Source organism: Homo sapiens, chromosome 20, assembly GCF_000001405.40.
Source record: "Homo sapiens chromosome 20, GRCh38.p14 Primary Assembly".
Taxonomy (NCBI): Eukaryota; Metazoa; Chordata; class Mammalia; order Primates; family Hominidae; genus Homo; species Homo sapiens.
In genome coordinates, this window is record NC_000020.11 from 50,928,651 (window position 1) to 50,943,016 (window position 14,366).

Here is a 14,366-nt window from a genome sequence, read left to right on the forward strand (position 1 = left end):
CGGTGTGAATTGACAATGTGGTCCAAAGAGCAAGGCAGGAAACGGAGTCCAGATCCTCAAAATGGTAGTACAGGGCATAACCACTAGGCCACCTATCAGTTCAGTACAAAAAGTACAACCCTGCGCATCATGGTGTAAAAGCTGGGGCCTAGGTTTCGCATTGTGCATCTCACACCTATGGAAATAACAAGAGGAGTAAAATCTATGGAAATCAACACACCCTAAGAAGGTGGGTGCTCACAGAAGACTGGTATCAACATTTTTGTAAAGGTGGTTGGCTGCTGAGATAATGAATGGCAATTACAAGTCCAAATTTGGAGGGAAACGAAATTTTTACAATCAACACTTGAGTTCGACAATGAAGAACCCAACATGGGCTTGATGTTTACCAACAAGGCTTTGCAAATCATGACACCCATCTACACACTTAATCCAACATCTCTCAAGAATGATTTTTAACTCTCAAAGAATTGGAAAGATTTGGCCTATGAAGAAGGGAGTTAACCAGCTATGCCCCCAAACCTGTTACTTTGTTTCAAACCTTCTCCTTTACCACCAGACTTAGGAAAGATATGGTGACACATTCAAAACTTGAGGTGGAAGAACTCCAGAGGAAGGGAATCCGAACCAAGGATGTGCCAAGGTGATTCGTCAAGAACAAATATGGACTGGGGGCCAACAGTTTTGAAAAAGTAAAAGGAGAAAACTTCTAAAATGCAGGGTGGGCTCTTTAAAAGAAGTAAAATCACTGCTCTTGACTCACTTAATCCTTCGCCATGTTGCTGTCAGCTCACCAACTAAGAGTGCGAGTGTGTCTTGCTGGGCCCATTTTCCCATGGTCTGTAGAAGGCGCTGTGAAGCACATCCTGTTCTAGCTCGGGGGCCCTTCCCCCCTCTGCAGCCTTACCCAGTGCAGAGAATGCGCCCCCTACTGACTCCAACACTCATCGCCTTTAGCCGACTTGGCTGCGGTGCATTTTGGGTGGGGGCTGGTATTTTCTCCATGGCCATAAACCAGAAGCAACAATGCAGATTTCTAAAGAAACTGTATCAAGCTATCCAAGAGATTTTTTTTTTTTTCATTCTGAAGGTTCAAGATACAGGCACAAGAAGCATCAGGGATGGGAACTGGGTGTGTGGGGATGGACATCATTAACATGACAAACACAGAAACAGTTTGGTTCTTTTTCCCTCCTAAGCCTTTGTCTGTGAAATGGGGTTATGGCAAGAAGTGTCCAGAGTAACTGGTAAATTCAAGAAGATTAAGAAGACTTCGTGTGTGGGGGGTGTGTGTGTGTGGCTAAAAAGGATATCAGACCTAGAGTCTTGGTCTTGGGCAGAAGAGGAAGAGAAGCAATCGCGCCTTTTCCAGCAGACAGGGATCAAGGTTGGGGGGGAGGGGAAGGCAGGCAGGCCTCCCAGAGGAAAGAAGAGGTGAATACGAGTGTGTTCACAAAACTACTCCCCATTCATTACATTAAAAAAAAATCTTTTTGCAGCTCTCTGGATTTCCATTTTCTACCACCTTACTGCAAAGTTGGGGCTCAGAATGTTCGAAAGAGGTGCTGACCAGGCAGCTGAGATTGGGGAAAAGGGATGGTGGTGAACTGTGGTCAGGATAAGAGGAAAGCTGGCAGGTTGGGGAAGAAGGATTGCACAGGGGAGGCAAAGACTCACTCCATGCCATGCATGCTCCCCGCCCCCCCCAACCCCGTCCCCCCTCCCCCAGGTAAGGGTGGGCAGACCTGGCAGAAGGCTGGTTCAAGGCATGGGGGTGTGCGTGGGGGGGCTCCTTTTGGGGGTGGGGGGCGGACGGGATTAGTTCCAGGATGGGAGAAGCTCGGTTCTGGCTGGGGGAGATGCCCTTAGCTGCAAAAGCTCCGGGCGGCCAGGCAGAGTGCTGGCCTCGGTGGGCTCACAGGGCGGAGAAGGGGGTCGGGCTGCAGGAGGAGGCGCCTGGACCTCCGGAGCAGAGTCGGGTAGCGGTCCGTGCCGGGACGGGGGACCCGTCGGCGCCGGGGTGTGCAAAGGAGCGTGTGTGCGGCTGGAGGGCGGCGATGCGAACAACAATGCGCCCGCGCCCGGGGCCAGGCTGCACTGGCGGCCGCGCGGGCCGGGGTCGGGAAGCCAGGCAGGGCAGGGCCGCGGGTCCGCGCGCGGCGGCGCCGGGCTTACCTTGACTCGGCCTCGAGGCGCGCGCGGGGCCGGCGTGCTCGGGGGCCGGACAGCGGCGGCGGCGGCGGGCGGATGGCGGCGGCACGGCGGTGGCGGCAGCGGGGAGGGCGCGCCCGGGGCCTCGTCGCGCTCCGGCTCGGCGGACTCCGGCTCGCGCCGCGGCCGCGGGTGCTGCCGGGGGGCGCGGCGGGCGCAGCAGAGCGGCGGGCGGCGGCGGCGTCGTCGAGCGGTGCAGACAAAGGAGGGGCGGAGGGAGGAGACGGAGGGTGTGGGAGAGGCGGCTTCACCGGCGCGGGCGGCGGCGGCCGCGCTCCTCTCGCTCCTCAGCAGCGGGGACCGAGAGAGGGAGCTGTGTCTGAGAAGACGCCAAAATCCCCCTTAGCGCTGCCTGCGGGAGGGGGAGGGGGCACAAGATGGCGGCGGCCGGGGGGGGGGGGGCGGGAGTTCAGCTCATGGATCCCGGCGGGCGGCGGAGGGGAGACCGGGCCGGCGGAGGCGGCGGCGGCAACGGGCGGGGGAGGGGGCTGATCCCGCGTCTCCCCTCAGCAGACAATACAAGCGCCTCGGACCGAGTCCCCGAACCTGCCCTAGCCAAAATGGCGGCCGAGAAAGAGCGGAAGTGACGTAAGTGCCTCATTAGCATAAGAGGACTCATTGTCCAGCTAAATAGGGGGGGGCAGTGGGGACAGCACCCCTAACCCCCTTTTCCCCAGGGGGGGTTCCTCTTACTCCCACCCCTGCTTGCACCTAACTTTTCCTGAGGGAGGGTGCTCTCAGCACCCCCACCCCCGCTTGAGGGAAATTATATAATCCCCACTGAGGGGGGAGCTCTCGCGAGAACCAGGCGGATTTGCCATTGACCCACTAGGAGGCGCCGCGGATAATGGCCGCAGTGCGCTCCCGGGGCCCGTGTGCTCGGCGGGCGCCTTCCTCTGGCCGCAGCGCCGGCGGCGGAGGCAGAAGCAGCGGGCCGCAGCACGCCCAGCACTCAGTCAGGTGGCCGTGCTGGGGATCCCTGCGCGGGCCCAGCTGGGCCTGGACTACATCTGGCGGGAGGGGTGTGCGGGGCGGCCTGGGGCGGCTCCACGTGCTCAGATGCCCGCGCTTCCACGGCTGAGAAGCGGCGGGAAGGCGCCGGGACACCTGGCCGGTCGCCCCTGACGCCTCCTGCCTTAAATGAGGTGTGAGGGCCTCGTGCTTCACACAGCGACTTGAGATGAGACACAACCCCATGGATGCCTTAGCCCTTCCTGGTGGGGTATTCGGTGCAGAGGGGCCGAGATTTTATTAAGGTCCGCCGTTACCCTGTGACTTGACATTCTTCCCAGTCACAGTGATGGACTCTTCTCTGACCTGAATAAAAAAAAAAATGGGAATCCTAGTGCCTTGAGGCCACCCAACTGGTGAAACTTAAGGATGAGAAGTGATGTTGCCAATAGGGGCATTGGCTCTCTGCAAGATCCTTAAACAACACACTTTGTAGTCCTAGGGACATAGCTTTTGGTGCTCCCACAATCTGGGTAGCATAAGACAGCACATGGTTGCTTTGTAAATTTAGGTCAATCCCAACCAATACATTATCTCCTCAACATTTTTGAACCAACCTTTTAAAGTAGGTTGTTCAAAGTAACATTATGATTTAAAGTATCATTGGTTGGTTAAATGTATTGACAAGTAATAGATGTCAATAGTGAGGAATTAACCAAGCCTGTTTCCTTAATATGTGATCTTTAGGTAAATACACCTGTCTTTTGCTGTTTCTTTACATTTCAAGTTAACATAGTTTCAAGCCATACTTAACATCCGAAAATAATCTGAGTTCGCTGCAAGTAGTATAAATTGTGGTTACACATAGCTGTTCAACATCTAAGACTTCAGTTAGCCCTGTTTAACAAACTTTTATACAACACATTTCTGCAATTGTGATAAAATGTATCTTTAAAAGCCAAGTCAGTATTTCAAGGGAAAACAGCTGAAAAAAGTCGTGGAAAAAGGGGTTGGGGCAAAGCATTTGATTCAGAAAACTAAAGAATCTAATTACACACTGCAGAAGACAGATAAAAACTAATATGAAATAAGCAAAGTAAGTTTAAGTTTAGTTTTTCTTAGATATACTTAGATTCCATATAGTGATAATACAAATACAAGGGAAAACATCTGGATTTCATCTTTGGCCTCATTTACAAAGCAAAATGGGATGCTGGATTCAGATGTAAATATTTAATTTTACAGTGTTTAAGCACCAGATTTACTACAAAAATGCATCTAAATATTCCAGATTCTTTTCTAAATGACTTCCAAATGCTATGAGTCTTCACTGCTCAAATACTCTATGGTAAATTCCAAGAGTGACAGTGTTGTGATAATGATTGTGTGAATAACTAAAAAGATTTAAAAGGCAAACATTATCTACTCTAGTGAGTATCTGAGAAGGCAGTACTATCTATATTAGGTTCTCTAAGGTTGTTACTTAATTTCTGCTCCACATACTTGACACTGAGAACTCAACTTTGAGTTTAGGTTAAGAAAAAATAAATTCTAACCACTCCAAAAAAACTGAGAATATTACATTTCTATTATCTTAGCTTAAAACTAATTTCACATCAAGCACTGATGAATTTTCTTCTTGTTATGAATGAGAGAAGTTTCTTCCCTAAGGAAAGCAGTTCCCTCACTGGCCAGCTGGACAGTTCTGGACATAAGGGAAACAGAACAAGAGTGGCCCTTATTGGAATGTGTACTATGGGTTCAACTATAGAAGCGTGGGAGGGGGTGGTTTTAATGTTCGAAATGACACCACAGGTTTTATAGTCTGGGATTCATTTCTGGTAGAATCTGTCAGAGAGAAATGCAAATGAAAAATCAGATTTTCATTTTTTTTTCTTTTAAAAAAGACAGGGTCTCACTCTGTTGTCCAGGCATGATCACAGCTCACTGCAGCCTTGACCTCCCAGACTCAAGTGAACCTCCCACCTCAGCCTCCCAAGTAGCTGGGACCACAGGTGAGTGCCACCACACCCAGCTTTTTTTATATTTTTGTAGAGACAGGATCTCCCTATGTTCCCTAGGCTGGTCTCAAATGCCTGTGCTCAAGCCATCCTCTTGCCTTGGCCTCCCAAAGTGCTGGGATTATAGACATGGGCCATTGTGCTGGGCCTCAATTTCTTCAGCAGCCAAGTTAAGCCAGGAAAATGTAGTAATTAGGAATACTGTTCAATAAATAATTTAGAGACACCTCTTACTTTTATTTCCAGAAGAAAGTCAACTTAAACTTACTTGCTCAAAGCATGCCCTTACTCAAATTTTAAAAGATACTACATGACCATAACCTATGCTACAGTTAGAAATTAACTGATCTCTTCTGAAATACCTACTTTAGAGAAAGTGGGTAAACATAATATTTGCCCTGGCTTTATTGGATAGCTTAGCCCAAATTTTAACTGGCAGAACACTTTTCTAAATGGAGAGAAGAGCTTAAGGCAGAGATTTTTCAAATTAGTAGGGATGTGAGCTTTGCTGAGGGTCTTTAAATAATATGAAAACAAGTCTTTTGAGAAAAAAATTGTTATATAATTCAGTAAGATGTTTAAAAATTACTGTAGCAGCTAAGTTTCTGCCTCAGTGTCATTAATATTTTTCCTTACTGATAGAGGTTATTGCTCAAAAGAGAAAAAAACGGCTATGTAATCAACTGCTGTCAAATTGTTTCCCAATTCACAATATGCATTTTAAATAGACCTGCTTTGATAGATGAAATGTTTCATCAATTCAACAGCTGAAAAGAACCGAACTGTAAATGCCTGCTCTAAATGTATTTTCTAGTTTAAGAAATTTGAGATACATTTTTAAGGAAAGGGCAGAGGTGTGTATTTCTTTTTCAATTCATACAGACACAGCCATAAACATTTCATCAGTTAACATTATCTTACTTCTGAGATCAATTAGGTATAAAGATCTATGATTCCAGTTTTTAAAAAGACTATTTCAAATTATTCCCCATGTAAAAAATTCTACATTCACATACTCTAATGAAGGCAGCAATACTTTATGCAAAAAAAAATATACATTTATTTATAGGTCTCAATACAGCAAAATGAAAACGAAAATTGAGAACATTGCTCATTAGGCCAGCAACTTTAAAATTATTTAATTTGAAATATAAAATAGGTGGTCTTCATAAAAAGATGCATGAAATTTACCTTACCTTATATTTTATACTTTAAGAGTACATTTTATACAAATCAGTAACCAGGCTTCTTTCATGTTTAACCTGAAATGAACGTAACTATAAATGAGTATCTTTCTTTTATGTAGTAGCAAAAAGAGTCAATAATCCTTTCAAGAAAGATACTATTTCATTTCCTCCCAACTTGGATTCACCATAAACACGATCCACAAATGATATTGGAACCTAGTTTAAAAAAAAAAAAGTAACGTTAGTCTTTAAAAACAATTAGGCAGCTTAGCCGGTATACCACATTACCAACACAACAGAAATAGGATTAGTCCTACAACAGAGGTCCTTAAAGTAAGTATAAAATTAGGGGATTATGAAAGCAACTGTGTGTATCTCCAAGTCTTTAAAATTAAACATGCATTATCTAAAGATAGGTCACATGAAACAAATCTGCAACTGTTTAAAAAGCACTGATTCTAGGTATTACCTTGGTTTACTCAAGTTTCAGTTTGCATTTCAAGGAAAAATTATACTCCAAAAGTAAAATGGCCTTGTGCGTAGATTTTTCACTTGTCAAATTTAGCTACAATGGTTTAGCATTAAGTAAAATAGCTTGTAACTTCCACAAGAGAAGTGACATTCCATAGCTATTTTCTTGCTCTGAATAAGAGTTTTACTATTAAATGAGGAGAGTCTTCCCTACCCTAAGAGCTCACTAACGAGCCCTAAATATTACAGATCACCACCTCCTTGCTCTGTAATTCCTGGTCTTCTCTTACTAACAGGAAATGGACATATGGAACTCATCATTCATTTTAAAGTATGGTGGCCATTGGCGGTGACAAAAGGAAAAGAAGCAAAGAGACTCAGTCCATAATGCTGATTAGTTAGAAGAAAGGGCTAGGATTGAGAAAGTACCAGGAACTTTTAATTATTTAAAAGAGAATGCTGACTGTTAATGTTTTAAATCTTACTGTTCAAATGTACTAATATGAATTTTTACCCTTTGTGCATGAATATTCTAAACAACTAGAAGACCTCCACAATTTAGCAGTTATGAAAGTTAAACTTTTTATTATAAAAATTCTAAACCTTACTGCTCCTTTACCAGGAACATGACACACTATTTAGCATCAGTTGCATACCTCGCCAATAGTATAATTCAACTGTCTTGCCCGAACAATCATCTCCATCTGGAAGACGTAGCCTTTAGAAACACATTTTTCTATTAATTTCTCTAGAACTTCTTTTCGGTATAATCTGTAAGAAATTAAAAATATATATCAACTTCTGGATAAATACACATGCCTATGTATCCTGACCTTTCAAAGAGTTCACTGGTATGTATAAAGCCTAAAACTTTCACTGGCCATTGGTAAACAGAAAAGCTCGCACACTTGATGATTATGATACATTTGTCCTAAGCAAGAAAGGCCATTAAATATTTGCTAAATAACTTAGAATAATTGTGAAAATGAATTCTCAGTTATCTTTTTATAGAATTATTTTCCCACCATACTATCAGAAATTAGTGAAATACGGTAAAATGAATCATTTGATGCAGAACCATCCATTATTTAAGATTTCCCTAAAATTTAAAGTTGAAAGAAACTGTTCCAAATATTGAACAACAGGGTGGACAGATGATCATGAAGCAACTATATATGTTAGATGACAAGAAAGAACCTCATAATTCACAGTCATTTTCCAATAAATGTTTATGATGAGTTTTGATTTCTCATGATTTCCTTTATAAATTCCCCAGGATAAACTAAGTTGCTCTAGGATGAGCTTGGGAAGCTAGGTTAAAACAGGAACGAGGCATCACAGGATAGAAACAATCCTGGTGGGATTCACCTATCACCAGTTGAGGTCACAGTTAGACACTTAACAGTGGGTGAATGTGCAGCCTAACTTTAGATGGACTGCAGGCCAAACACCAGATTTACAAAGACAGCGGAGTTGGGCAGTCCAGTGGGTAGACCCAAGCACTTTCTTCAGTAACTAAATAGCAGGGAGCTCCGTATTTTCAGAGTCACACTTTTTTTTTTTTTTTTTTAAAGATCAGTGTCTCAGTTCATAGGGAGGCAGCAATTTCTACCTTTTTTTGTGGGGAGAGGGGAGAAAGCAAGAAGAGGCAGTTTGGTGTAACTTTGTTCTCTTCAAAGTTAAGGCCATCTGGACCTACTGTGCCTCAGGGTTTCACCCTGAATCCACATTTTTTTTCCCTCAGACTTCTAAGGCGACCTTATCTTTTGACTATGAAGTGGGTATAGGACAGCACAGCCCTTAGAAAAACCTGACAGCTTAGTGTGTGCAATCCTTTATCCACATAGTTTCCTTAAGGATTCAAAGGAATCAATTTGGAATAAATATGGAGAGAGGAGAATCTGATGGTAGCAATATTTATTCAATAATAAATATTTATTGACCAATGTACTGGGTTTCAGGTTTTTTTTTTATGTTTTGGGGTTAAGAAGTGAACTTAAAAACTCAATGAAGATATATAATATGTCAGATGCTGTTAGGGGAGGGAGCACTGGGATTGTGGGGTGGGAAGAACTATGATACTGATGGGACTATGTTTCCACATTACCTTTATTTATATATTTGTATTTTTGGAGACAAGGTCTCACTCTGTTGCCCAGAGTACAGTGGCACAACCATGGCTCACTGCAGTCTCAACTTTCCAGGCTCAAAAGATCCTCCTACCTTAGCCTCCCAAGTAGCTGAGACTACAGGCATGTGCCACCATGCCAGGCTAAGCAAGAAAGGCCATTAAATAATTGCTAAATAACTTAGAATAACTTTTAAAGTTATTATTATTATTATTATTTTTATTTTTTTAGTTTTTGTAGAGACGGAGACTCACTATGTTGCCAGAGCTGGGGTCTTAAACTCCTGGGCTCAAGATATCCTCCATCACTGGCCTCCCAAAAGTGCTGGGATTATAGGTGTGAGCCACCACATCCAGCCAGCATTACCTTTAAAATTGGGATTAGGCTATGAAATATTTCCTCTCTTTAAGAGTTGCTTTATTCCCCTTAAGAATCATTTTCTAAGATATTTCTTTTCACTGCCACCTCCTTCCTCCCCATCCACATGGTAACTTTAACACTGTGGCTAGTAAAATAAAATGTTACATGAAGCCATATAATCCCATAAATGCGATTAGGATCCAGGTGGTCTATGCTATTAAATGGCTTTATATTGACTGTAGCCTTTCCAGGATTCCTTTTCTTATTTTGTAAAAAGCACCTTCTTCCTAAATCTAGGGATTTAATGACAAAAATGGGCTTTGTCTAGCGACAAATGAACTTTAATGCATGTATTTAAGAAACCACCACTCTTATGAGAAGACAATGAGATTTAACTATTAAAAAAAATTTTTTTTTTTTTTTGAGACAGAGTCTCACTCTGTCGCCCAGGCTAGAGTGCAGTGCAATCTCGGCTCACTGCAAGCTCTGCCTCCCAGGTTCACGCCATTCTCCTGCCTCACCCTCCCGAGTAGCTGGGACTACAGGCGCCCGCCACCACGCCCGGCTAATTTTTTGTATTTTTAGTAGACGGGGTATCACCATGTTAGCCAGGATGGTCTCGATCTCCTGACCTTGTGATCCACCTGCCTCGGCCTCCCCAAGTACTGGGATTACAGGCGTGAGCCACCGCGCCCAGCCTATTTAAAAAATTTTTTGGGCTGGGTGCAGTGGCTCATGCCTGTAATCCCAGCACTTGGGGAGGCGGAGGCAGGAGGATCACCTGAGGTCGGGAGTTCAAGACCAGCCTGACCAACGTGGAGAAACCCCATCTCTACTAAAAATACAAAATTAGCCAGGCATGGTGGCGCACGCCTGTAATCCCAGCTACTCGGGAGGCTGAGGCAGGAGAATCTCTTGAACCTGGGAGGCGGAGGTTGTGGTGAGCCAAGATCGCGCCATTGCACACTCCAGCCTGGGCAACAAGAGCGAAACCCTGTCTCAGAAAAAAGAAAAAAAAATTGTGCAATTAACAGGTTCACTTTTGTCTGTTTGGCTGCTCTGTCATTTATACAGAACACAGCTAATCATTGCTGTCAATACATGAAAATCCAGAACTCCCAGGCCATCCTTCAACCCCCATCCCCTCCACTAATCCTTGTATGGTTCTGATGCAGCAAACCACCCTCACCCCATTCCTCTCCCTGCTGTGTTTTTCTTCACAGCCTCTATCTTCACAACTAGTTACCAGTTACCCTAGGTTTTTATTCAAAACCATCAAAACTGTGGCCTGTGAAATCCACACTGGCCCTTCCCGCTGTACAGAGATTTTGTGAGTGCCACTATTCTTTGCATTGTTGCCACATGGCAATCAGAGATCTTTTTTGTTTTTTTTTGTTTTTTTTTAGACGGAGTCCCACTCTACTGCCCAGGCTGGAGTGCAGTGGCGCGATCTCAGCTCACTGCAACCTCCACCTCCCAAGTAGCTTAGACTACAGGCCCACCACCACACTTGGCTAATTTTTTGTATTTTTTAGTAGAGACAGGGTTTCACTGTTAGCCAGGATGGTCTCGATCTCCTGACCTTGTGATTCACCTGCCTAGGCCTCCCAAAGTGCTGGGATTACAGGTGTGAGCCACAATGCCTGGCTTTTTTTTGACAGTCTTCCTCTGTCGCCAGGCTGGAGTGCAGTGGCGCAATCTCGGCTCACTGCAACCTCTGCCTCTGGGTCTCAAGTGATTCTCCTGCCTCAGCCTCCTGAGTAGCTGGGATTACAAGCGTACGCCACCATACCTGGCTAATTTTTGTATTTTTAGTAGACAGGATTTCGCCACGTTGCCCAGGCTGGTCTTAAAACTCCTGACTTCAAGTGATCCACATGCCTCGGCCTCCCAAAGTGCTGGGATTATAGGCGCAAGCCACTGCCCATCCACCAGCCAACGCCCATCCGCAATCAGAGATCTTAATCATATCACAAATGACTCTTTAGCCTTAGGGTATAGCCTCCCCTCTCTTTCATCCCCAAGTTCAGCTCTCCAGTCTATTTGCATTTTAGTTCTAGAGAGGCTTCATTTTTCTTTTTGACTGTCAACAGCCAGGTCCTAATTTGTGTGTGTGTGTGTGTGTGTGTGTGTGTGTGTGTGTGTCAATTCTCACATTTAAGGACCTAGATTTTCCTGCATTAAGCAAAGGACCCAAGAATCAACATTATTTAGTGGAAAAAAGTATCAACTAGTAGAAATTATTAAGTAATGTTTGGGGGGCTTGGGGGTCACTAAAGTAGATGCAGGGGCATTTTATAGTTTCAGAGATTAAAAAAAAAAATCTGGCAAGTTTTGTCATTTGCCATGGTCAGTCACACAAAGCAGCTCACATCTACTACAGCAAATCTAGACCACCACCCCATACACCCAGAAACAGACACGCAAAACTCAGAGGGACCGAAGCTTTGTCCAAATTGAACAACAAAAATTTCCTCAAACATATGGAGAACAAGGTAACTGAGAGAGCTCTATATAAATATTAAAGAGTTTAACCTTTTCTGTAGACAATGCTGTAGGTATTCATATGAAATGCAGAAAATTAAGTACATGCTATTCTTTGGAACAGATTATCAGTAATAGCAACATTCCAAAGAGCAGTTGAGCCTTAATACTAATGTTAACAAGCACACAAACCTAACTGCCTTCAGCTTTTTAAAGGAAAAGCACAATATGTCTCCTTGAGATGTTTAGGCTTCATTAGCAACTTCTAGGAATTTTAGTCTGCCTTTTTAGTATCCCAGAATAAAAACAAGGTAGAAATGTAAAGTGTCTCTTTAAAATATCCATTGTAAAGAAAGTTAGCCAAGAAGTTATATAAAAGTAGTGGAAATTTTCACTGTACCTGAAACTTCCTGTTAAATCAGATGCTCCTGGTCTCAGCAAGATCTGAGTTAAAAAATTGGCCCCACGGCTGCCAAATAAAACAATCAGATCTTCTTTACAAAATACAATTTATAAACAAGAGAAACACATCGAAGAACAGTGTTAAAATGCTATACTAATTTCATAAATGTAACATTAATTTCATAAAAATGTTATTTATCTAGAACAAAATAGAAATTTTTAGTCAATGAAAGGAGACCTGGCTAGGCGCGGTGGCTCACACCTGTAATCCCAGGAGGCCAAGATGGCTGGATCACTTGAGCCCAGGAGTGACCAGCCTGGGCAACATGGCAAAACTCCATCACTACAAAAAAAAAAGTGAATATATATATATATATATATATATATATATATATATAAATAAAATACATTCATATAATATATATACACATTCATATAATATGTATATTCATATTATATATTCATATATATTCGTATTATATATATTCATATACATATATATTCATATTATATATATTCATATATATATTCATATTATATATATATATTCATATTATATATATTAGCTGGGCATGGTGGTACGTGCCTGCAGTCCCAGCTACTGGGAAGCTGAGGCAGGCAGATCACCTGAGCTCAGGAGTTCGAGGGCAACCTGGGCCACATGGTGAAACCCCATCTCTATGAAACAAAAATTAGCCAGGCATGGTGGTGCAGGTCCACAGTCCCAGCTACTCGGGAGGCTGAGACAGGAGAATTGCTTGAGCCCGGGAGGCAGAGGTTGCAGTGAGTTAAGACTTTAACCCAGGTCTGTCTGAAATCAATCTTAATTAAAATTACACTATAATTATGGGGAGAAACCCTACATATTTAGACCAAAAGTATAGAACAGGTCACATAAATTAAAACTGAAGGTCCAGTACAGTAACTTTTGCTGAATGAGACCATTTCTACCAAAGGTCCAAAGGTTTATGCTGATTTTTCCTTAATAAAAAACATCCAGGCTCTAATCACAGGAAAAACTGTAAGAAACTATCTGGGAGTATTTACTGGAAGTTATAACCTGATCCCACAAATCCCGGGCAGCATGATAGCTAATCCAAATACTTGCTATGAATACATTTCCAGTAGTTATACTAATAAAGAAGTTGTAACACATGTACCTACCTGATTATTTTTCTTTTCAAATCCCAGCCATATACACCTCCATTTCCTTTGTAGCGAGTTCCAGAGACAATATCAAAATTACCCTCCTTTTGCTTCCTGTAGAATAAATTAGCTGTCAATTAGAAAAAGCCACTGAGCTTTCAACAGTCATTTTCATGAGCTACACAAACAAAACTTTTAAGAGAAGTCGACACAGGCTGGGTGCAGTGGCTCACGCCTGCAATCCTAGCACTTTGGGAGGCCGAGGCGGGTGGATCACGAGGCCAGGAGTTCAAGACCAGCCTGGCCAAGATGGTGGAACCCCATCTCTACTAAAAATATAAAAATTAGCCTGGCGCGGTGGCGGGTGCCTGTAATCCCAGCTACTCAGGAGGCTGAGGCAGAGAATCACTTGAACCCAGGAGGCAGGTTGCAGTGAGCTGAGATCACGCCACTGCACTCTAGCCTGGGCAACAAGAGTGAGACTCCATCTCAAAAAAAAAAAAAAAATTAGTCGGGCACAGTGGCACATGCCTTTAGTCTCAGCTATTTGGGAGGCTGCAATGGGAGGATGGCTTGAGCCAGGGAGGTTCAGGCTGCAGTGATCTGTGATTGTGCCACTGTACTCCAGCCTGGGTGACAATGGAAGACCTTGTCTCTCAAATTAAAATAATTAATTTTCCCAATACCCTTCCATTCTGTTCTTGCCTTCTTTGAAGCAAATAATACTAAAAACAGCCTGATGTCCTGCCACACTTTTCTTTGCCTAGAGAAAGATAAAGACAAACATACACCCCTAGGATTTTTGGTTGCATTTACAAAATTGGGATGCAAAAAAAGTACATTTTGTGACCTGGTTTCTGTCAGTTAACAATACATATCATGGGGTCAGATGTGGTGGCACACGCCTGTAATCCCAGCACTTTGGGAGGCCTAGGCAGGTGGATCACTTGAGGTCAGGAGTTTGTGACTAGCCTGGCCAACACAGTGAAACTGTCTCTACTAAA

General features: G+C 43.5%; 2 protein-coding genes and 1 long non-coding RNA gene across 20 annotated transcripts in view, besides 10 other annotated features; 1 reads left to right on the top strand and 2 right to left on the bottom strand.

The window, feature by feature from the left end:
- Nucleotides 1–2,787, bottom strand: part of ADNP (activity dependent neuroprotector homeobox) — a 42,520-nt gene extending 39,733 nt beyond the window's left edge. For 4 of the 10 annotated variants that reach the window (NM_015339.5, NM_001282531.3, NM_001439000.1 and 1 more), the window contains exons 1-2: nt 2,176–2,787; nt 1–175 (exon numbers count right to left, since the gene is read on the bottom strand). Coding sequence is in view for 2 of the 10 variants with exons in the window: in NM_001439000.1 (NP_001425929.1) it covers nt 1–168 (168 nt within the window). In the remaining 8 variants the exon portion in view is untranslated. Of the gene's footprint in view, nt 1,688–2,175 lie in introns of those variants that run through there. The other 6 variants (NM_001439001.1, NM_181442.4, NM_001347511.2 and 3 more) reach the window with 2 other exon arrangements.
- Nucleotides 922–971: a silencer, noted in NCBI's record as "silent region_13032". NCBI's record gives its function as "represses an Ori minimal core promoter by ATAC-STARR-seq in GM12878 lymphoblastoid cells {active_cell/tissue: GM12878}" and the evidence as "EXISTENCE:reporter gene assay evidence [ECO:0000049][PMID:35858748]".
- Nucleotides 1,002–1,051: a silencer, noted in NCBI's record as "silent region_13033". NCBI's record gives its function as "represses an Ori minimal core promoter by ATAC-STARR-seq in GM12878 lymphoblastoid cells {active_cell/tissue: GM12878}" and the evidence as "EXISTENCE:reporter gene assay evidence [ECO:0000049][PMID:35858748]".
- Nucleotides 1,616–2,406: an enhancer, noted in NCBI's record as "H3K27ac hESC enhancer chr20:49546803-49547593 (GRCh37/hg19 assembly coordinates)". NCBI's record gives its function as "activates a minimal SCP1, AML or CMV promoter by ChIP-STARR-seq in primed H9 embryonic stem cells {active_cell/tissue: H9 hESC(primed)}" and the evidence as "EXISTENCE:reporter gene assay evidence [ECO:0000049][PMID:30033119]".
- Nucleotides 2,006–2,185: a silencer, noted in NCBI's record as "silent region_13034". NCBI's record gives its function as "represses an Ori minimal core promoter by ATAC-STARR-seq in GM12878 lymphoblastoid cells {active_cell/tissue: GM12878}" and the evidence as "EXISTENCE:reporter gene assay evidence [ECO:0000049][PMID:35858748]".
- Nucleotides 2,326–2,375: a silencer, noted in NCBI's record as "silent region_13035". NCBI's record gives its function as "represses an Ori minimal core promoter by ATAC-STARR-seq in GM12878 lymphoblastoid cells {active_cell/tissue: GM12878}" and the evidence as "EXISTENCE:reporter gene assay evidence [ECO:0000049][PMID:35858748]".
- ADNP-AS1 (ADNP antisense RNA 1) overlaps nt 2,334–14,366 on the top strand; it is a 14,151-nt gene continuing 2,118 nt past the window's right edge. Inside the window, exons 1-3 of one of the 3 annotated variants that reach the window (NR_110007.1) lie at nt 2,334–2,404; nt 2,725–2,799; nt 5,074–5,177. This is a non-coding gene — a long non-coding RNA (ADNP antisense RNA 1). Of the gene's footprint in view, nt 2,405–2,721; nt 2,800–5,073; nt 5,178–14,366 lie in introns of all 3 variants that reach the window. The other 2 variants (NR_110008.1, NR_110009.1) reach the window with 2 other exon arrangements.
- Nucleotides 2,526–2,745: a silencer, noted in NCBI's record as "silent region_13036". NCBI's record gives its function as "represses an Ori minimal core promoter by ATAC-STARR-seq in GM12878 lymphoblastoid cells {active_cell/tissue: GM12878}" and the evidence as "EXISTENCE:reporter gene assay evidence [ECO:0000049][PMID:35858748]".
- Nucleotides 2,826–2,945: an enhancer, noted in NCBI's record as "active region_18107". NCBI's record gives its function as "activates an Ori minimal core promoter by ATAC-STARR-seq in GM12878 lymphoblastoid cells {active_cell/tissue: GM12878}" and the evidence as "EXISTENCE:reporter gene assay evidence [ECO:0000049][PMID:35858748]".
- Nucleotides 3,045–3,232: a silencer, noted in NCBI's record as "fragment chr20:49548232-49548419 (GRCh37/hg19 assembly coordinates)". NCBI's record gives its function as "represses an EF-1alpha promoter that drives an FKBP-Casp9 reporter gene in an ReSE screen in K562 erythroleukemia cells {active_cell/tissue: K562}" and the evidence as "EXISTENCE:reporter gene assay evidence [ECO:0000049][PMID:32094911]".
- Nucleotides 3,045–3,275: a biological region, named in NCBI's record as "ReSE screen-validated silencer GRCh37_chr20:49548232-49548419".
- Nucleotides 3,096–3,275: a silencer, noted in NCBI's record as "silent region_13037". NCBI's record gives its function as "represses an Ori minimal core promoter by ATAC-STARR-seq in GM12878 lymphoblastoid cells {active_cell/tissue: GM12878}" and the evidence as "EXISTENCE:reporter gene assay evidence [ECO:0000049][PMID:35858748]".
- DPM1 (dolichyl-phosphate mannosyltransferase subunit 1, catalytic) overlaps nt 6,205–14,366 on the bottom strand; it is a 23,710-nt gene continuing 15,548 nt past the window's right edge. The window contains exons 6-10 of one of the 7 annotated variants that reach the window (NM_001317035.1): nt 13,381–13,476; nt 12,479–12,559; nt 12,215–12,283; nt 7,498–7,612; nt 6,205–6,586 (exon numbers count right to left, since the gene is read on the bottom strand). In NM_001317035.1, coding sequence (NP_001303964.1) covers nt 6,482–6,586; nt 7,498–7,612; nt 12,215–12,283; nt 12,479–12,559; nt 13,381–13,476 — 466 coding nt within the window. In that variant the 3' untranslated portion in view covers nt 6,205–6,481. Of the gene's footprint in view, nt 6,587–7,497; nt 7,613–12,214; nt 12,309–12,454; nt 12,560–13,380; nt 13,477–14,366 lie in introns of those variants that run through there. The other 6 variants (NM_001317034.1, NR_133648.2, NM_003859.3 and 3 more) reach the window with 6 other exon arrangements.